Raw genomic sequence first — 22,342 nt, 5'->3', positions numbered from 1 at the left:
GTAGCAGAGGCCTGTAGTCCCAGTTACTCTGGAAGCTGAAGTAGGAGAATCACCTGAGCCCAGAAAGTCAATACTGCAGTGAGCCCAGATCATGCCACTGCACTCCAGCCTGTGCAACACGCGTGAGACCCTGTCTCCAAAATAAATAAATTAATTAATTAAAAAATAAAAAACTTAGTTGTCAACCTTAGGTTACCAATTTTTGCTATGAGAATGGCTGAAGCTACACAACCACAATTTTGATCAAACCAACTGACCTTTCTGATAGTGTCCATAGCAAAGCTACAAAGTCTTGGTGTTTCTTGGAATGATGTGGTATAGCAGGCCTTATGGATCAACTGAAGGAAAGCTAAGTTCAGTGTGATATTTGAAACCGTTCTCTCTTTGTGCATCTTGGCACTGCCTATGTTTTTTCATTTTATTGTTGCTGCTGTTTTTAAATCCGTGTTTCTATACTGTCTTTTCCTGCAATTAAGATTAAGGTAGCCAGGCGGGGACTATGTCTAAATTGTTTATCTTTAATATATAAAGGAAAGATTGTCATCAGCCTGCTTAAAAGATACCATATATGAACTCAAACAAGATCAGCCTTTGGTAATTCTAGCTTCTGATACAGCTTTTCTTTTTTTCTGTTTTCTTTTCAGCTAATGTATGACCCTAATAAATTACCACTCTAATTGGGTGTTTGCTCAGTCAATTGAAAAATAGAGTTATTTAGGAGGGCAAATGAGTTAATAAGACCTTTTGTTTTTCTTAAGGCATCTCTTAAAACCTAAACATTAATTACAAACCATTATTACAAACCTTCTTCCCTTATTTGATGACATCCTGTGGCTAAATGTTTGGGCCTTTCTTTGTGTGTAAGTTATTGCGTTAAGTACTGCCAGATCAAATAAGTGGTATGTGCTTTATTAAATATGCTATTCAGCAGGTGAGGTTTGAAAAATTAGAAAGGATGCCCACACTGTTTTGTTTTGACCTACTCTGTGCGTGTGTGTGTGTGTATGTGTCTATTTTGGTTTGTTTTGAGTGTCTTACATAGTAAATTGCCCTAAGATTGCTCAGTAACACAACTTCATGCTCTGGTAAGGTGGGGTAACATTTGCTTCTTCTCTAAAGTTAGTCAGCAGAGAGCGTATAATAGAACAAAGACGAGGAAAGCAGGAGTTGATGTTAACATAGAGACTGCCTTTTATGTCTTCCTGGATTCCGCAGAGAAGAATTGCAGCCTCATTACTGAGCAATGAATGTTTCTGGTTATTTTGGGTATGGAAGCAAATGAGAAGGGGAGAGGGGAAAGCCAGCAGCAGGCTTGGACGGCTAACTAATCTATTACAGTCTGGGGAGATGCTTAAATGAGTGAAGCAATTAAAATCAACACACCTGGGACACCAGGGGAAAAAACTGGAGAGGAGTAATTAGTGAAAATCCAAACACATAAACAGTTGTAGTGTCTACACGAAGCCTGCGAAGTTGGTGGTTCAGCCAGGCATGAAGGTGTCTTACTCCCTTACTGAAAAACAGGTAAACGTACCCTACAACACACACAAATGATTTGTGTACAGATGCTGACATGGCTTCCAATTTACCCATCCCACATACACAAATAGCTTATGCACTTTAATGGGCAGTATATATGTTTATACCAAAAAAAAAGAACCCATAGAGAACGATTGTTTTGCTTCAGTGTTTGGTGAATGTTGATGGAACTTAGTAAAATAGAACATTTATGACCATGAGAAATGGCTCTCTGGGGAGTCATTTCCCTGCCCCCGGCTGGAGGTAAAAGGCTACAGTGACAGCACTAGGTAAGAGAGGGACAGAACAACAGGTTCTGCGAGTTTGAGAAGCAGAGGCTGCTCTGACTGGGTGGGTGGTAAGAGCATCAGTCCTGAGCAGCACATAACTCAGAGAGAAGTGATGGATTCGTGTGGAATGTGGACATAACAAAGAGGGTAAAGCAAGAGCAAATTATGAAAGTGCACTTGAATCACCCAGTGTGCTGAGGACTTTTCCTGCCAACAAGATTCCACTACTGAAAAGCCACACGCCTGGTGGATTTCCTGATCAAATCCAGAACACTAAGTAACACGAACTAACCCAATGATATAACCCAAACCAGACTCCACCAGGCGATTGGCTGACTGAATCAATTAGAAAACGAGGAGTTTTTTTCATCCTTTTAATTGAAATAATTAATTTTGTTGTTTGAGTTAAAAAGAATTTTAATATAGTTAAATCATTGTGCCAGTGTATTCCAGCTGTTTCACTGCCAAAACTGGGGGCAGGGGCTGCTTCAGTTTCTCTGCCTTCTCTTTGTGATGACCAAGTTATAAAGGTATCTGTTGCACTGAACTTGTAAATTCACATTATTCTTATATTTCTTGATCCTGAGTTATTTGGCATCCTTTTGTCTGTGAGCAGAAAGTCCTTGATTTTCTTAATTTTGAGAGGCATGGCGACAAGACAGGTCTGCACCAGCAGTGCCAGGGAAACACCCTTTTCCCCTTTCACAAGAGTGTTTAAAAAACCTCAAGACTCTCCTTTGCTCTGTATTTCATTTCAAAGTCACAAAGCAAAAAAAATGGACTCTGACTAAGTTTAAATTCTACTCTTTCTTGCTGCCTACCTTGGCGATGTTCTTATATTTATTTCATTTTCCATTCACCTGACAAGCCCCTGGCAGTCTCTGTGGACAGTTTTGAAGTCACCTGCCTGGTCACTGTATCTCAGACTCACACACAGGTAACAGCCTGGGAAAATCACTGATGAGTGAAAGGCCCACTTTAGACACTCATATCCCAGCATCCTGAGAGCAGGGCACCCCTCGGAGCCCCGGTGACCAGACAGGGATGTCCGACGGGTAACCACAACAGAACTTGCCAGGACCTCCTTGGTTCTGAGGATTCATGACTGGCTTTGACACTGGGTGGAGGATGATCAAAAGCCCTTCAAAAATCAGTCTCCTAGGGAAGCTCCATTGTCTTTCATCTTTTCTAATCCAGTGTTTTCCCAACTGCCCCCTGCCAGGATAGGGACTGTCAACACTGTATTGCTCCTAGCTCCTCATACTTTAAGTGGTGGTGGAGGGGAAGTTGAATCTAAGTTCTTTAAACACACACACACACACACACACACACACACACACACATAGATATATATGCATTTATAATTAAAAGATTTTTATTCTATATAATAGTGAATCCTAAATCTGTTAATCATTGGATTTCTTTGATCGCATAAGGTGGTTTTTCAAAAAATATCAATTCCTAGGATCCCAATCCTAGCATCTCAACTAAGACCCCAGCCTGAACCCCTGGGCCTGGGATCAAACTCAGCAATGTGGAGTTTTAGTGCTCCCCAGATGATCCTAATGATCACTAATATTTACGAACCTGAGACTTAATTTAGTTATTTTTTATATTTATTTATTTATTTAGAGACGGAGTCTCACTCTGTTGCCCAGGCTAGAGTGCCGTGGCACGATCTTGGCTCACTGCAACCTCCGCCTCCCAGGTTCGAGCAATTCTCCTGCCTCAGCCCCCCAAGTAGCTGGAATTACAGGCGTCACCACGACACCCGGCTAATTGTTTGTATTTTTAGTAGATACAGGGTTTCATCATGTTGGCCAGGATGGTATCGAACTCCTGACCTCAGATAATCCACCCGCCTAGGCCTCCCAAAGTGCTAGGATTACAGGCGTGAGCCACCACGCCCGGCAATTTAGTTATTTATTAAACCAAATATTTTAAAATGTATCTTTGGAAATTCCATTTAGAACGTATTGCTTGCACTTCACTCCTGATTCCAATACTTTACCAAGTCACACGATCTCCTTCCCCTTTCTTCAAATATGTGGTTTACAGTTGTGGCAAATAGAGGCCTGAGAAAGGATTCCTTTAGTTCCCTTTTTACTAAACTTGTGCAATAACATAACACCTTAAATCAAAAAGAAATTAATAATTCTACTTTTTACCACCCCCCAGATCATATCCTATTATCTCAAGGGATATTGTAAAATTTTTGAAATGAAATTCCTCTGAGTTCCTTAAATTTCTAACATTTGAAAAACACTGCTTTAGATTCAAGGAAAGAATTCAAGGCTTCTCCTCCACTGTCTCCTCTACCCACCTTCCCACCCTGGCCCCATCTCAGAGCCACTCCCTTGGAGGACTGCATTCTTTTCCATCGAGGTCCGGTCGAGAAAATGGACACCACACTAGGTATTTTAACAGAGGGAATTTGATATGGGAAGTTTATTACAGATGTTGAAAGGCTAAAAAGCAAAGAGGCACTAAGATAACAGAGATAAGTAAGAAGCAACTACCACTCTTAGGGAAGAGGTTGGAGTTTCCAGAACTGTAAGTTAGATGAGAGCCTCATAGAGTAGGGACCCATGTCTTGAGGTGGGGCCACTGCCAAGTCATTCCTGATACATCAGGAGCTTGTAGGACAGGTTTCCTGGATCTGGGGCTCTGACCTCCGACAGAGGCACTAGCTGGAGTCCACTGCTCCTTCAGACAGATTGCAGTGAGGTTCTAAGAGCAAGGAAAGAAGCTGAAGACAGAAGATGACTAGTGCTGCCCAGAGAAAGGCCACTGATAGGGTGACACCTAGAAACAGCAAGCAAACAGAAAGAAGGGAAATCCCCATCCCTCCTCCTGCAGTCCAGAGTCCCTATAGGGCATCCTAAGAGGAAGCTCACAGACCAGAGCGAAATGCACTTTTCAGAGTCTTGGCCCCTGCATCACACAGCAGAGTGTACAGGGCGGGCTATGTCACTGAGATTAATCCAGCACAGGATCAGACAATCTCTTGGGTCAGAAGAGCAGCAGAACTTGCATTGGTAAACACAACAAGCTTAAAAGCTTCTGTTTTCATGACTATGTTTTTTGGAAGGTCAAATAAGTTTGGGAGAACTATCTTTACAATTTGGAGTATCACAAAGTCTATTAGTATATTAAAGGATCAGAGAAGTCTTGCAGTAAAGGAACTTGCTTTATTTTGTTTAATTATTTCTAAAATTTATTCAGTGTGAATTCCTTTCCCCCCAACACACATATAATATTCCTCAGAACATGCAAACTGTTCTAAATGCTGCTGTAAAAAAAAGTTACTAAAGTCCAAACTGCTTTTGTTGGTTTGCTTCTAAAGCTAGGAAAAAGAGAAAAGAATATGTATATAGGTGAAATCAAATAATTGGGAAGAAAAACAGAATATCTGCAAAGCATTAAATCCAATTCTATTTTTTTCATGCTTTCTGATATCTGTAAAAGGGAGATCCTCCTCTGCCCTTTACCACACCATTAGAGAAAAAATTCCTCATGTAATCCTCAGATAAATCATGAACCACAAGCTATAACAAAGACCACCAGCTTCAACCAAATCTAAGAGAACAGGGTAGTGTTACGTGAATCTGTACAAATAAATCACACAGCACTCTGAGATGCCCAGCTGCCTTAAACATATAGGGTAGCTTGAAAATTATCCTGCAGAGCAAAGAGTGGCTGTATTTCTACTCAAGAAGGTAAAAAGAAACTCTACTCTCTCCCTTTCTATACATTTTAGGACTATGACTAGTTTCCACTCCCTCCATGCCTGCCTCAGACAGGAGGAGGCACCTGACAGAACCGAAACCTAGAGTGTGGCACACGGTAAACTCTGGGGAGCTGGGCTGGAAGGTCATGTAGACACATGGGCTGAGGCCAGCATTCAGCAGATACCGGCGAATGGGTAGAAAGTGGGTAGAAAGAGTTATCCACAAAGACAGATACTGAGAGAAAAGGAATGACCGGGATGGAGGGAGTGGGGAGAGACAGGAGAGGAGGAAGAAGGAGGAGAAGGAAGGGAGGAGAGGGAGGAGAAGGAGGAGTAAGGGGAGGAAGAGGAAGAGGAATCTCCCTTTTATAGATGTCAGGAAACATGAAAGAGGAAGGAAGGAAGGAAGGAAGGGAAGGAGGGAGGGAGGGGGGGAGGAAGGAAGGAAGGAAGAAAGAAAGGGAATAAGGAAGGAAGGAAAGAAGGAAGAAAGGAAAGAAGGACCTGTAAAGTAGATAGAAAGAGGGAGGGAGGGAGGGAAAAATTACTGCTGGCTGATTTTCCAGATCCCATGATACTGGCTCTAAATTCTTCCTACTCAACTAGAATGCTTCATTTGACAACATCACAATGTGCAACCACTATATGGATCCTCATCAAGTTATGCTAATCTGGCTTTTACCTCTAAGTTGGATTTTGTCCGTGAAGACAAGTGATTCCTATCTGGAAATCTGGAAGTTTCTTAAGCAAACAGTTTGAATTGATTTTATTTATTTAATTGACTATTCCATTCCTTATCAAAAAACAGGTACCAAAAAGTTCCAAACAGTTGAATGTAGATGAAAGTAACCATCACATGTCTTCAACACACCTCCTTGCATGGTGATGTATTACCTACAGACCTGGCATGACACTAATTCATACTATGATAAAACATCAAGGCCCAATTCTAGTGCTAAGAAACTTTCTGTCCCATTCATTGGGAAGATGATCAGACAGAAGACCCTGGAAGTTTTGCCTCTTATACTCACATAACAAAGGGCAGACATTCCTGGGGCAGGGATGAGAGAAACCAACTCTAGTTAAATATCTATGGTTCAAGGCATTGAAATTTGCTATTAATGCCCCAGCATAGTCTCTTTTATTGGATCTGGCTTCACTTTACAGGCAAAGCAATACCTCTGACTATTGCCCCAGCAAGCTTCCAATCACAGACTTCTCTAAAGGTGACTTATAAACAGGTACTTATATTTGTGTATTTTTGCCTTAGAGTACACACCACATCTTCCACCTTCTAAATTCATTGGGTTTGTCATGCTTCACTTTCATTGGGTTCTTGCTGTTTCTACCCTTTTGGAATTAATCAGTCTGCTTTCCAAACTCACTTTCAGCTGGAGTACAGACTGAAACTTCCCTTTGCCCGCTGGTCCACAGTCAAAGGCCAGGAGCCCTGCCCACTCCCATGCTCAGTTCCCCTGCTTGAACCCCAGCCTATGCCACAGGAAGTGGTCCCCCAAATAACATGCAGTACCCCTTTGCCCATCAGCAGAACTCTGTTTGCCTTTTCTCTTTAACAATTTTAAACATACTTCTTTTCTTTTTAAAAATTATTTTAGATTCCAGTGGTACCCGTGCAAGTTTGTCACATGGTGGTACTGCATCATGCTGGGGTTTGGGCTTCTACTGAACCCATGATCCAAATCATGAACATTGTACCCACTAGGTAGTTTAGGAAGTTTTTCAAATCTTGCCCTTTTGGAGTCCCCACTGTCTATTATTTTCACCTTTGTAAACATACTATTTTCTAGTCTCTTTCTAAATGAGGATCTAATTATAGTGGCTGTTTTTTCTGATGACTATAGATTGTTTTTCCCTGTATTTTCTCTCCTCTCTCTCTCTCTTTTTTTTTTTTTTTTTTTTTTTTTGAGACAGGGTCTCACTCTGTCACCCAGGCTGGAGTACAGTGGCATGATCATGGCTTACCATAGCATCTACCTCCCAGGCTTAGGTGATTCTCTCACTTCAGCCTCCCAAGTAGCTGGGACTACAGGTGCATGCCACCATACCTGGCTAATTTTTGTATTTTTTGTGGAGACAGCATGTTGCTGTCTCTACATGTTTCAGTATGTTGCCCAGGCAGGTCTCAAACTCCTGGGCTCAAGTGATCCTCCTGCCTGGGCCTCCTAAAGTGCTGGGATTACAGGCATATGCCAGCATGCCCTGCCTTTCCTGTATTTTGTAATTTAGAATTGTGAGTTCATGTTGGGTGGCACATTACCTATAGGACTCCTGTGCAACCTAGGTTGAAAATAGGTCTTCCTAGAGAAGGCTTTTAGTCACTCATATTAGGGGGCACCAGTATTGTTATCAACCTGAGAATGCTTTTTACATTATTTTGTGGAGAACCTAGGTGTCATCCAGATAGTAAAAACTCAAACCCTAAACCTGAGTGAGAGCAGCCTAGGGTTCAGGTTTTCTAATATCCTCAGGATTTTCCTTTGCTTCCTCTTTTCCTAGTAGATCAGGCCAAGCACAAAAGTTTGTCTCCTACTGGGAGAAGATAAACATTTTCAGTTCCCCCGCTTCACAGATCTACAGTAATTCAAAAGTTCTTTATTTAAGGGTCTTAGGCCTAAATTTCTGCCTTTCATGGGCCCAAAGATTTGTCTCTTGTACTTTCATGGCCATTAAAATCCAAACCCATTGTTAATTATACTGACAAAAAAAAAAACCCATAGCCATCAAAAGATCAGTTTGCAGGGTATTTTCCTTACTTTCTTTGTAGCATTTAAAAGCATGCTTATTATATTTTAGCTTATCTAAGTGATTTATAGTAACAGAGCTTTCAGATGAACTTGGCAACATTGCTAGAAATCAAGGCTAATGTTATACTTTGAACATTTTTGTTCTTATTATATGTCAGGATTCCTTTGGATATGGAGTCCCTTCTGGAAGTGGACTGGTTTGATAACCACGTTTGATTCCTTATAGACTTACATTGAAAATGTCTTCTTAGGCAAAGTGAAAAGAAAATTTGTGCAATTATGTGCCTGTCTCAATCGACAATACAATCCATATGGAGAGAGCAGCTCCTCCTTCTGCTCACCCCTCACGAACAAGGTTCAAAATTTTCTCAGGATGGGTTCAGTGGCTCATTCCTATAATCACAAGCTTTGGGAAGCTAAGGTAGGAAGATCACTTGATGCCAGGAGTTTGAGACCAGGCTGCGCAACATAGCAAGACCCTGTCTCTACATAAAAAATAAAATAAAATTAGCCAGGCATGGTGGTATGGACCTATCATCCCAACTACTTAGGAGGCTAAAGTGAGAGGATTGCTTGAGCCCAAGAGTTTGAAAGTTTGAAGCTATGGTAAGCTATGATGGCACCACTGCACTCCAACCTGGGTGACAGAACAAGACTTTGTCTCAAAAAAAAAATTTTTTTTCTCATACCTTCCAAAACAAAACAAGAATGGTTTCTTACTAGAAAGGTTCCTTGAAATCAGTTTTGCAAAAATAAAAAGAATGGAACAACTCATTCTCAAAGAAATCCAGCTGTCCCTGGGGAAATCAGGATTTAGATCTTAATTCTAATATTTGGAATTCTTCTTTCCATTTTCTATTTTTCTTTGGTATGACTTTAATAGACATCTTTGAGTGGGAACATTACAAGATCATGTCTTTACAACACCAAAATTAACTTTCAATTTGATCAATTTAGTCAAACCCAACAATACATTTTTTAAAAGTATACTATATTACTGAATTGAGTAATAATAATTAGAGGGATTATTTAGAAAAAAATTAAGAGTGATCTTGGAAAAGTGAGTAAGGGAATGCAAATTTACATGTTGGTTAGAATATTCAGAAGGCCTTATGATTTTTGAATTTTAGCAATGCTATTTCTATCAAAATTTTACAGATCTCCCTTAAAAAGGTATTGTTTAGCCTCTATTTTACAACTAATGTACTGGTTACATCCACCACATAATAGATGGTGGGCACCTATTTCACTGGTTACCCATGCAGTCAGAGAGCATTTGGATCTAGCCTAAATTCTTCCTTCTGCAATTCAAATGTATTTCCTCTGGCCCTATTCTTAATGGAGATCAGATTCTTACAAACAACCCTCCTGTTATTGAAGGCTCCCCTCTTTTTCATGCATTCCATTTCATTGTCTTAGGTGTACAGCCTCCATGAAGGATGTCCTGAAGGGGAGAGTTCAAGATCAAATAATATGTCTCTCTTCATAACCTAACAAATATAATTTTCTTCTTTCTGGTTACATTAACAGTGAGAATTTCTCTTCAAATAACACATGGAAGCCTAAGGTGCCACAGAAAGTGTACCATTTTAAACCCCACAGAGGCTTCAAACTGTTACTCCAGTAAACGTTTCCCCAGCAATGCTGTTTGTTGAATAATTATAGTTTGAGTTTTTCTGTCATCAAAATCAAAGAAAAAAGTTCTGACTATTTCTGACATGAATTATATTGTTAAGGGGTAAATTGTGATTCCCTTTCTGTCTCCCTTTGACCTGTTTCCAAAGTGAAGTTAAATGGAGTGTTAACCCAAAATCAGTCAATCCGGACACATTCTATCACATGTATTCACCATCTATCCTGTATCCCTGCTCTGTTCCACCCCTCCACCCCAAACATATGCATAAAGTCTCTCTTTGATCTTCAATAATTGATTCTTGTGTCTAACATTTTCTGATATTTACACACTTTTATTTATACATATGCATAGGTCGTCTATACATATGTCCATTTAATCCCAAAGTAACCATTCCAAAAGAGCAGAGGACAAATCATTAATAACTATAATATCTGCTAAGTATTAAGTAGTTCTTATATTCCAGGATTTCTGTTTGGTGCTTCATATAAGTTACCATACTTAACTCTTTTAGCAACCTGCTATAAGTTGAATTGTGTCCCCAGCAAAAACATATGTTAGAGTCCTAACTCCCACTACCTCAGAGAAGGAGGGCCAGATATGCCAAGAAAAGGCCATTACTTATAGAGGTGTGGGCTGTCCAGTCCATGAGGGTGCCTGGCCAGAGCAGCAAGTGCAGCTAAGATTCAGTCTGCGCTCCTCCTACCAGGCTGTGTGCCATGGAGCTGCACCATGTCTGACCAGCAAAAGGTGCCTCTTCCCATAGGCTATGTGTGGCCCTATGCAAGAAATTATTATCTCAAGATCACGGCATTCGCATTGGACTCTCAGACAAGATGCAGAATAAAAAGATCTTTGGTCATTGTACAATTAGAAAGCAGTATTTTATAAACATGATGGTTCTGTGCTTTTGAGATTCTTTTTGTTTTTCTTCAGTTTTTCCTTTACCTTTTGTTGCTAGTGTTGAAAAATCCCTTTTGTTGAGCTAAAGAAGAAATGTATTTCTTGTTTTTGCTTTTTCCACACTGAAACCAAACTTCAAGAGGAAAAACATACCACACACAAACTGTATGAACTGCTAGACAGCAGATAGGCAGAAATACATACCAGTGATGTGCCAGGGCTCACGAATTAGTCAGATCAACATGTGAAGCCCAGCTCTGGGGTGCAAATGGGGCAAACTAACCTCCTAAGTCTCATTTTCCTCACTGGAAAAGTCACTCAACACATTTTTACTAGGCAGTGCCTGGCCCTGTTTTAGCATTCCCAGGTTAGGGTCTATATGCTCATGAAGATTAAATTCTAGATTAGGGTGGTAAAAAAGGGGAAGACAGACAATGCTAAAACATGCATATAATTTAATTTGCAAAATCCTCCTCCTCACAAATACATCAGTATGCATTTCTCTTTTGCATTTCTTGGTATCTTATTAGCCAGAGAGCCATTGATCTGCAAGGGTACCAGGGAGAGATCAAAGTAAAGCAATAGGAATGCAAAAGAGTTAATATTTAGTTTCTGGCATCCAAATAAGCTTTCCAAATCAACAGCAAGAAAATAATTCTTGATGCCAGGTAAGGTGCCTCACATCTGTAATCCCAGCACTTTAGGAGGCCAAGGCAGAAGGACTGCTTGAGCCCAGGAGTTCAAGACCAGCATGGGAAACACAGTGAGAACTTGTCTCCACAAGTACTAATTTTTTAAAAGTTAGCTGGGTGTGGAGGAGCACACATGTACTTCCAGCTACTAGACAGGCTGAGATGGGAGGATCGCTTGAGCCTAGTTGAGGCTGCATTGAGCCATGATCGTGCCACTGCACTCCAGCCTGGGCAACAGAGAAAGACCCTGTCTCAATAAAATAAAAATAAATAGGACTGGCTGACTAGATCACAGATTTTATGTATACTGGGCATCTACTTACACCTGGAGTAGGGACACAGATATGTGGTGGATGGAGTTGAAAGTACAAGAAGTCGGGGAGGGGAGGAGAAGAGGAAATCAGACACCAGTGTTTTTTTTCTCTGCTTCATTTCCTGGGACCCAACCTCAAACATCCGGATGAATGAGGAGAAACCTGGGCACATTGGGGTTTGTGGCTCACTTCTACAGATGTAGTACAGACAGTACCAAACAGGGCTGCAAGGTAAACAACAGGAAGCCCAATTAAATTTGTATTTCAAGTAAACATAAATGATTTGTATTATAAGTATGTCCCATTCAATATTTGGGACATACATTTTTTCCACTGTTTCTCTGAAATTCAAATGTAACTGGGCTTCCTATATTTATATTTGTGAAATCTGGCAAACTTACCCCAGGAGAACTGTTAGCTTGGGGCCTCAGCCCCCCATGGCATGGGCATGATGGCACAGAAGTGGCAGTGGGAGTGTTGACAGCTAGGCCTAAGGAAGCATTCTTGCTCAATGTGTGGAGTTCTTGGATTGTCTGGCCCATTGTAAGTGCTCAATAAATATTGCCTATTACTATCATTATAGCAATCAGTGGAACACCCTCTTAGGTCCCTGGAGATATGGGAGCAGGGGAGGGAGAAGAATGCAGTAGACAAGAATAGAAGAAATGAGCTAATATTTTTCCATGAGTGAATTGGCACTGGCAAGGCTCCTATTGGATAAAAGATTGATGAGGCATTCTGGTGTCAGGAACGAATGTTCAGAATCCAGCCCTCATGCTGATCAGAGAGTCTCATTGGGCCCTGGGCCAGTGGACTAAAAGAATACAGAGCTCTAACAGCACAAAGAACTATAGGCCTGGAAATACAGTAGTCCATCATACCTGCCCCCTAGGGAACACAGGAAGAGATCCAGTATATGTGTGAGAGACACAGAGTGGATATCTTTTAAAATAAGTGGGGTGAATTAGGTTTACTGCATTGGAAAACTACTGGAAAGCCAGCTACCAATTAAAAGGACCAGAAAATTCCTTGCTGTTGACTCAAAGTCAAGAAAAGCATACAGTGATCTTTTTGAACAGCTTTGCCTTCTGAGTTTATGGCAAAATCCTCCTAATTAGTCATGTGAAGTCTTTTGGAAAATGAAAAGAATGTCCTAAACCCAAATTAAAAAGGCAAAACGGTGGTCATGAAATTGACAACTTACTGGTAACTCTGCCTTTTTTGCCCTGTGAAAATGCACTTTTACTTATGGATTACTCAGCCTTAAGTTTTTCCAATGATGTTACAGAACCATGAAAGTATTTCCACACCAGCATATTCCTGTCAGCTAAGAAGTCATAAAGTGTATATGTAATCTTCTTCCCAATGATTGGCATAGGAACTTGGAAAGTTGGCAGAAATAAATGATGACTGACAATTTCTACATAGCATCTTATTGTGCTTGGGTTTACAAAGTCATTCAACATTATATGGGCTTCACACATTTATTTTGTTTTGTTTTATTTTATTTTATTTTATTTTATTTTAAGATGGAGTCTCACTCTGTCACCCAAGCTGGTGCGATCTCGGCTTGCCACAACCTCTGTCTCCCAGGTTCAAGTAATTATCCTGTCTCAGCCTCCCGAGTAGCTGGGATTACAGGCCCATGCCACTATGCCCAGCTAATTCTTGTATTTTTAGTAGAGACAGAGTTTCACCATGTTGGCCAGGCTGATCTCTAACTCCTGACCTCAGGAGATCCACCAACCTTGGCCTCCCAAAGTTCTGGGATACAAGCGTGAGCCACCGCGCCCAGCCTAGCTTCATACATTTCTTAAGCACAGTATAGTAGAAAATGGCCTTGCATATAGTATGGTCCAGAAGGTAGTCCTGCATCAGTTGCTCTTTAGAGCAATGATCTGTGCCAGTCAAATGCATCCTGGCCTCATGTATCCAAGGTTTATATCATCTGCTTTTAATAAGGCTACTGTGGGTTAGAAGAAACAGCTAATAATATTTTTTATTTCTAAGTGACATGTTGACACACAATGGTATTAATTATTTGTAACAGGCTGAATTGTTGCCTTGTAAATTTTTATATCATAGTTTTGCCATTTTGAGAATAAATACAATTTCTATTTTTTTAAGAAATTAGAGTAAACCAAATAGCTAAATGCTAATAGTATGAAGCACCACAGAGCATGGCTAAATAAGCCATTTATGTTGTCCTTATGTATCTGAAGTTTTTGTGGTCTGCTCAAGTTTTTCCCTAAAAACTTCCCTCAATATGAGCTGTATATTAAGGTTCTGATATGGTTTGACTGTCCCCTCCAAAATCATGTTGAAATTTAATTGCCATTATAAGAGTATTGACAAGTGGGACCTTTAAGAGACAATTAGGTCCTGAAGGCTCTGCCTTCATGAATAAATTTATGCTGTTGTTGGGGGAGTGGGTTAGTTATAATGGGAGTGTGCTCCTGATGAAAGGGTAAGTTATTTTCTATTCTTTCTCTTTCTCTTGCATTTGTCACTTGCCTTTCTGCTTTCTGCCATGGGATGACACAACAAGGAGGCCCTCATCAATGGCTGAGCAGACACTAGTACTATGCCTTTGGACTTCCCTGACTCCAGAACCATAAGCCAAATAAACATCTTTTCTTTATAAACTACCCAGTCTGTAATACTCTGTTGTAGCACCAGAAAATGGACTAAGACAGGTTCCATCAGAGGTATTACAGTCACAACAAAATGCTATAAGGAAAAAATAAAAAAAAAATTAAAAAAAAAGAGATAAAAGACCAAAAAAAGAGAATTATAGTATATGAAAGTATTGTATTCACAATAAGGATACAAATAAAAGGTTTTTTTATTATTAATAGTTTAAAATAAATTTCAAATTTAGAATAATTTCTCCAGATTACCTTCATTTTAACTTTTTTAGCAAACGCTGTCTTTATCAACCATGCAAGTGAATGTGCTAAACTGATTAGGGAAGACTGGATAAAGTACTGAAATGGTAAAGCAATTTTTCTTGGTAACACTGTTTCATTTCAATAAAAATATCTATAGGTCCAACTAAGTTTTTTGGCCTCTAGAAAAACAATAATGACTTGAAGAGTTAGTCCATGTATGAACTTAGATTTGTGTATCTTAGATGAATCCTTATCTTTGCATTAAAAACATCTTCAAAAGACATTTACTAAGCAACACTATTGGTGATAAATCAACTCTATAAGCATTAAGTGTGTTATTAAAAATATTTGAAACTAACAAAGTCACTTTTTTAAGAAAATGTACACTTAGTATATTAATAGTTAAGATTTTTTTCTTAACCAATTTAATGTCATGAGGTTCATAGCAGTTTCTTCCCAATTATTTTATGGAGAAAACCAGGTGAATCGTGAATCACCGAAGTCTCCTTGAGGTTAGCTGAAACCAACACCCATCCAAAGAGAAAACATAATCCTTGGAGACTGCTTTTTATAAAACAGTAAATTCCAAGACTCTACAGAGAAAATGTGAATTTAGATCATCTCTGATAGACAATTTTTTCCTTTTGTTTCCAGCTTTATTGAAAAGGTAATTTTTAATTGTCCAGCGTTATAATTATAGCAATTAAAATATAAAATGAAAAGCCAAGATACTGATAATGATTGGTATCATATATGGTCATAGTCATGATAAAACTTTTTCAATTCAAGTTGCTAGATTAGACAAAATGTTAATCTCCTGTCCCTTTTCAAATGGTTTTTAACATCAGATAGAATCATAATACTAAATTCCACTATACAAAGGTCTCTTGTTTAACAATTTAGAATCACTGTTTTTCTTCATTATCCTTCCTTTTGACTTTTTCACATCTAAAGATGTGTCCGCTAGTAATGATCAATGGAAATAGGTGAAATTCAAATGAACACTTATTACAATTCTGGCAAAAGTAAGGATGGGAAGGGATGTGAAGTGAGTGGCTACAATTAGTAACAAATACATGACCCTGAATATAGAAGTCACTCTATAAATCCTTAATTAAATAATTAGGGACCTAATTAATTTTTGCCTTCTGGCCATTATCACATCTAATCAAAAGTTGATTATAACTATAACACCATGTGAAGCTACTCATGATCATAAGTTATATTTTTAAAAACAATGGGAAAATTAATAACCACTTAAAATGCACACAACTTTATTATTCCAGTCTCACAAAACCTTTGGAAACCACAGCTGTTGATAATGTTTTTGATTTGCCAGATCCTGTAACAGTCCACTTACTTTGCCTTGAACATGGCATTTGTACCACATTAAAGTTTGGCAAGCTTAATCTTTGCTAACCACTGGCAAATGTGAACATGCTATAAAATATAAAAATATGTTTCAGCCAAAGCCATTATCAGGTACATATTTGCTTGGATTTGACTAAGAAACCTCTAATTTGTTCATGCACACTTGGCATCTTTACATTCTGTGTGATGATCATGCTTGCAATTTATATATTATGTGTCTGACAGCCAACTAAAGCTCTAAGTGCTATCGAGGAAGAAAACAAAAAGGAGAGGAAGAAAGAAATCCTATTTTACTTCTGTTAGTGTGAGAATGAACTTCCATAATCTTTTAGAGGAAAGTCTTCCAACAGTGATCTTCCCCATCCTCCCACCCTACCTGCCCCATACTAAAGATATTTTTGAAAAGCTGGCATATTCTCTTTCTACATCATCCCGTAAGAGAATCTACCCCTGCATTTATCCTTTCAAATATGGCATCTTACATTTATCTCATGACATGTTGTGAAGTAGAAAAGGTAGGAATTATGTAATGATTTATCATATATAATCAAAGGGAATGGCTAATTTTCAGAGCAGGACCAGAATTAACATCCCCTCGTCCTAGCTCTCCATCCAGGCCCACCTTTCAGTGTCTTGTGACAGGGACCACATTCTATTTACTTTTCAGACCCAGGAGATGGATGCCTGTAATGAATATAAAACACTGAACATAAACATAAAAAAATGCAACAAATCAACCCCCCCCCAACAAACTAAACCAAAACAGAGAAACAGATGCTTTTTCCTAAGAGTCATTTACTGTTCACTGACTCATTCGACAATTTATTGAGCTTCTACTAAGTTCTAGATGCTATCTTTGACATTGTTCACTTCAAGGAGTGAGATAACATGGAAGAGTAGCTATCACAGTGCCTGATGTGTGGGGGGCAATCAATAAAGTACATTTTCTTCCTTCTCAAATGTTTATCCTTGAACTAATCAATCTATCAAAATCCATATGCAATCAAAAGAAAAGTATTCACTTCTGATCCAAAGTCATCATTCCTTTATACCTCCATATCTGTGGTTACATACCGTGATATTTAGGCACGAGCTATCAAGCCAGAGAGAATAAACCACACTCAGGCAGAATCATGGCTTATGATTTGTGGTCTGCTGTTTTTTGTGGTAAAAGGGAAGAGGAAAAAGCCAGTCAAGTGTCCTGGTATTAACAGGCTTTATCAGTATATACTCCTCCCCTGCCCCACCTCACACACTCACACAGACTTTGGGGAGGAGGTATTATTAATCTAAACAAATAGCTTGCAATTGACAATAAGCATTCTACTATCTTCTCTGGTTATTTAAATTTAACTTTCATTTACAAGCAATTTATAGAGACAGACATAGCCTTGAAGCCAACACTTTCTGCCCTAACTTGCATCCTGTTTTCTATTTGCTTTTCTTTTTTTTTTTTTCAGCTTGGCTCCCAAGACTAGGTCATATATGAAGGGGAAGCCAATCTGAGGCATCATTAATGTGCAGTTTTCATGATCGACGCTAATCACTACCGCCAAATTGTTTGTGCGGTAATCCACACTGATCACCAAGACATCTAGAATGAATAGATCCTTGTATAAACAGACACAATAGTTGTAGCTCCAAGATAATTAAAGAACTCATCTATGACCTCTACTGGTCATGTTACCAAAATACAACAGCTACCATTCTTTCAGAAGTGTTTTCATTTATTAAAAATATATTTCTCAGCACCTACTATGTGCCAAGCATTGTTTAAAAGATTGCAGTAAACAAAACACACAAGACCCTTTCCCTCTTAAATTCAGCAAGGGAGACATTCAAACTATAAACATTATAAGTAAGTTCATTGTAGAGTATTTTAGAAGGCAATAGGTGTTTTCAAAAAGAGAAAAAAGTAGATCAAGGTAAAGGGAATCAAAAGTACAGAAAAGGGCCCTTTTCCCCCACTAGGGCCGGGCCTGAAGGTCTCTGTTGAGCCACGGATGTGGGTCTCTGTTCTGCAGGATGGGGTTTGTTAAAATTGTTAAGAATAAGGCCTACTTTAAGAGTTACCAAGTGAAATTTAGAAGATGATGAAAGGGTAAAACTGATTACTATGCTCAGAAATGCTTGGTGATACAGTATAAAAATAAATACAACACACCCAAATACAGGATGATAGAGATATCATTTGTCAGGTTGCTTATGCCCGTATAGAGGGGGCTATGATAGTCTGCACAAAATATGGTGTGAAGGCCGGCCTGACAAATTATGCTGCAGCGTATTGTACTGGCCTGCTGCTGGCCCGCAGGCTTCTCAATAGGTTAGGCATGGACAAGATCTATGAAGGCCAAGTGGAGGTGACTGGCAATGAATACAATGTGGAAAGCATTGATGGTCAGCCAGGTGCCTTTACCTGCTATTTGGTCGCAGACCTTGCCAGAACTACCACTGGCAATAAAGTGTTTGGTGCCCCGAAGGGAGCTGTGGATGGAGGTTTGTCTAACCCTCACAGTAGCAAACGATTCCTTGGTTTGTCTATCCCTCACAGTACCAAATGAATCCTTGGTTATGATTCTGAAAACAAGGAATTTAATGCAGAAGTACACCGGAAGCACATCATGGGCCAGAAGTTTGCAGATGACCTGCGCTACTTAATAGAAGAAGATGAAAATGCTTCCAAAAAACAGTTCTCTCAATACACAAAGAACAGCGTAACTCCAGACTTGATGGAGGAGATGTATAAGAAAGCTCATGCTGCTGTACGAGAGAATCCAGTCTATGAAAAGAAGCCCAAGAAAGAAATTAAAAAGAAGAGGTAGAACTGTCCCAAAATATCCCTTGCTCAGAAGAAAGATTGGGTAGCTCAAGAGAAGGCAAGCTCCCTCAGAGCTCAGGAGCGGGCTGCCGAGAGCTAAACCAAACAATTTTCTATGAGGATTTTTCAGATAAAGACAATAAACTTATGAACAGAAAAAAAAGATGGAAGAGGTAGAGCTGGAGAAGTACACTGCAGAATTAAATTAGGTGCTCAGGATAAGTGTCAGTGATAGAGTGGAATTCAGCAAAGCCTTGAAGGAGGTGAGAGCCTCAGCCACTACTAACACTAGTAGGTTCTCAAATTAGTTAAATTAGACATTGTATTAGTATGTTCTCAAATCGCTACAAGGAACTACCTAGGACTGGGAAATTTATTAAGAAAAGAGGTTTGATTGAGTCACAGTTCTGCAGGCTATACAGGAAGCATGACTGGGAGGCTTCAGGAAACTTACAACCATGGCAGAAGGTGAAGGGGAAGCAGGCATGTCTTATATGGCCAGAGAAGAAGAAAGAGAGTGAAGGGGGAAGTGTTACACACTTTTAAACAAACAGATCTCATGAGAACTCACTATCATGAGAACAGCAAAGGGGAAGTCCGCCCCACCGGTGATCCAATCACTTCCCACCTGGCCCCTCCTGCAACACTGAGAATTACAATTTGACATGAGATTTGGGTGGGTATACAGACCCAAACCATATTAGACATCATCCTGGAAGTAGTGTCCATTTTCACAGAGAGTTTCTAAAATGGTTTTGGAGTCAACCAGACTCGTGTTCAAACTCCGTACTGGTCAGCTTTTGGTGCAGCAACAAACAACACCAAATTCTCAATGGTTTTAAAAACTATTTATTTCTTGCTTATGTTTCATGAGGGCTGCAGGTTGACTGTGGGTCAGCTGTGACTCTGATGGGCTCAGCTGTGCTGGATTTGGCTCAGCCACAATTATCATCTCCTTCCAGGAGCCAGGACTGAAGGAAGAGCAACTCTCTAAGGTGTGCTGTTCTCACGGGGGAGGTCAAGGCTGAAGCAGGTCTCACCAAACCACACCACTGAAAGCTTCTGCTCTGGCAGCAAATATCAAGTTCACACACATTTTATTAACCAAAAGAAAGTGGCCAAGTCCAAGGTCAATGCAGGGAGGGCAATGTATTCTGCCTGCACAGAAGTATGGAAAAGGCAAGGAAGGAATGAGTAATTGTGAACAAATAATACAATATGACCTTACTGAGCTCCTCATTATCTTTTATTTTTTGGGATCTATGCCAATTGCCACCACCAAATTATTCATCCAGCCAAGCTGAGCCCATCAGAGTTATAGCTGACCCACAGTCAACCTGCATTTATCATGAAACATGAGCAAGAAGTAAATATTTGTTTTTTAAGCCACCACCAAATTATTCATGTGGCAATCCACACTGACCACTGAGACAACTGGAATGAACAGGTCCTTATAGAAACACAGACATAAAATTACTTGCAGGTCCAAGGTGTGTTGCAGGTCTCTGAATTTTACTTTGTTCATCTGCGGAACAAGAATAAGATCACCCTACTGCAGTGGCTCACACCTGTAGTGCCAGCTACTTGTGGGGCTGAGGTGGTGGGAGGATCGCTTGAGCCCAGGAGTTCAAGGCTGCAGTGAGCTCTGATCACACCACAGCACTCCAGCCTGGATGACAGAGCAAGACCTCCTCTCTGAAAAAAAAGAAGGAATGAAGGAAGGGAGGAAGGAAGGAAGGAAGGAGGGAGGGAGGGAGGGAGACTAGTTATGAAGAAGAAATGAGATCATGAGGTCATGTCTGTAAATGCATTTAGCACAATAACTGGCTTATAATAAAGGATCAGTAAATGCTAGTATTCTTTTTTTGTCTTTTTCCAAAGGTGGCATCCCTCTAGCCCAATTCCTTTGGAGGCTTAGGGGGCAACTGGGGCATGCTGGAAAATTGAGGAGTCTAGAATTCAAGAACTATGGATTCAATTCTGTTTCTAAATCTGCATACATTCCTAATCTATAAAATGAGGCATCTGTCTAAATGATCTCTAAGGTTCCTTCCAGTGCTAAAGATCCTCAATTTGGGGTAAAACATGCCTGTAGATGCTTGTTTTTTCTCCAGAGGTGCTGTTTAGTTTTAACACCAGGTGGCGCTAAATAACAACTAAATGTAAAAAGACAAAGGCTCTGTGTGTGTGTGTCTGTCTGTCTGTGTGTGTCTCTCTGTCTGTGTGTGTCTGTGTGTGTGTGTGTTGTGTGTGATGATGTGATTGTGTTTGTGTTGTGTGTGAAGATGTGATTGTGTGTGGGGTGTGTGTGAAGATGTGATTGTGTGTGGGGTGTGTGTGAAGATGTGATTGTGTGTGGGGTGTGTGTGTGGTGTGTGTGATGATGTGACTGTGTGTGTGTGTGTGTGTGTGTGTGTGTGTGTGTGTGTGTGTTTGGGTGTGTGTGTGATGATGTGATGAAATCCGGAGAGTTCTAGGCTATTTCTATTTTCTTCTTATGTGTATATTCTTATAAAGCAGAACTCTTGCAGCTGATGGTTCCTCAGAAACCATCACTCTGAGGAAATGGCTTCCAAAAACAAACCAAGCACGCTAGTCCTAGAGGCCGTCACACGAAGGGAGAGGGCCCCAGGAGCCGGGGGATAGCCCCAGACGCTTTCTAGGTTTGACTTTGAAATTTGGTTTCAAACTTTTACAATTAAAATAATTTATTTTTATTATTTTTAAGAGACGGGGTCCCACTCTGTTGCCCAGGCTGGAGTGCAGTGATGCAATCATAGCTCCCTGCAGCCTGCAACTCCTGGGCTTAAGCGATCCTCCCACCTCAGTCTCCTCAGTCACCCGGACCACAGGCGCGCCACCGCGCCTGGCACTGGAGTTTGAAATTTGGAAACTTCCTTCCTTTTGAGCAGAGGTATGAGATCATCGGAGCTGTGCTGTAGGACGATATATCTAGCAGCCACAAGATGGGCACAAGGAGTGGCTGGCAGCGGGGAGCATCGTTTGGGAGGTTCTTATGGCAGACAGGATCTGCGCACAGGCGTCTGAGCCGTGCGTTGGGAGTGAGCATGGAAATGAGGAGGCCGTTGTCGGGACAGAATCCCTCCCACTTGGCAAATGTTTAAATAAAGAGGCTTTGAGCAGGATAAGTCATCGTAAGAGATGACACTCAGATAACTAGGAAAACGTTAGGGCCTCTGACTGGAAGTGGGCAGATGACTTTGGGGCGGCAGTATTGCTGCTGTCCCTCCCTGGCTCATCTACACTGCGGGAGAGGAGACTGCACGGCCCCTGCCCTCCCAGGTACTCAAAACACCCCGAGGCGCACATGCTGGTCTTACCAGGGCCTCCTAGAGACTTGCCAGTGGGGCGCTTCAATATGACAATCAGCCTTTTTTTCAAAATATGTTTTCTTTC

General features: G+C 40.3%; 1 protein-coding gene and 2 pseudogenes across 2 annotated transcripts in view, besides 1 other annotated feature; 2 read left to right on the top strand and 1 right to left on the bottom strand.

The window, feature by feature from the left end:
• SCRG1 (stimulator of chondrogenesis 1) overlaps nt 1–22,342 on the top strand; it is a 134,444-nt gene that overhangs the window by 80,875 nt on the left and 31,227 nt on the right. The gene's annotated exons all lie outside the window — the stretch shown is intronic.
• Nucleotides 113–17,840, bottom strand: LOC124900814 (60S ribosomal protein L38-like; annotated as a pseudogene).
• Nucleotides 2,715–3,217: an enhancer, noted in NCBI's record as "NANOG hESC enhancer chr4:174356204-174356706 (GRCh37/hg19 assembly coordinates)". NCBI's record gives its function as "activates a minimal SCP1, AML or CMV promoter by ChIP-STARR-seq in naive H9 embryonic stem cells {active_cell/tissue: H9 hESC(naive)}" and the evidence as "EXISTENCE:reporter gene assay evidence [ECO:0000049][PMID:30033119]".
• Nucleotides 18,063–19,083, top strand: RPL5P11 (ribosomal protein L5 pseudogene 11; annotated as a pseudogene).

Source organism: Homo sapiens, chromosome 4 (genome assembly GCF_000001405.40).
Source record: "Homo sapiens chromosome 4, GRCh38.p14 Primary Assembly".
Classification (NCBI taxonomy): domain Eukaryota; kingdom Metazoa; phylum Chordata; class Mammalia; order Primates; family Hominidae; genus Homo; species Homo sapiens.
Note: the sequence above shows the minus strand (reverse complement) of the source record. Positions and strands in the feature narration are given on the sequence as shown.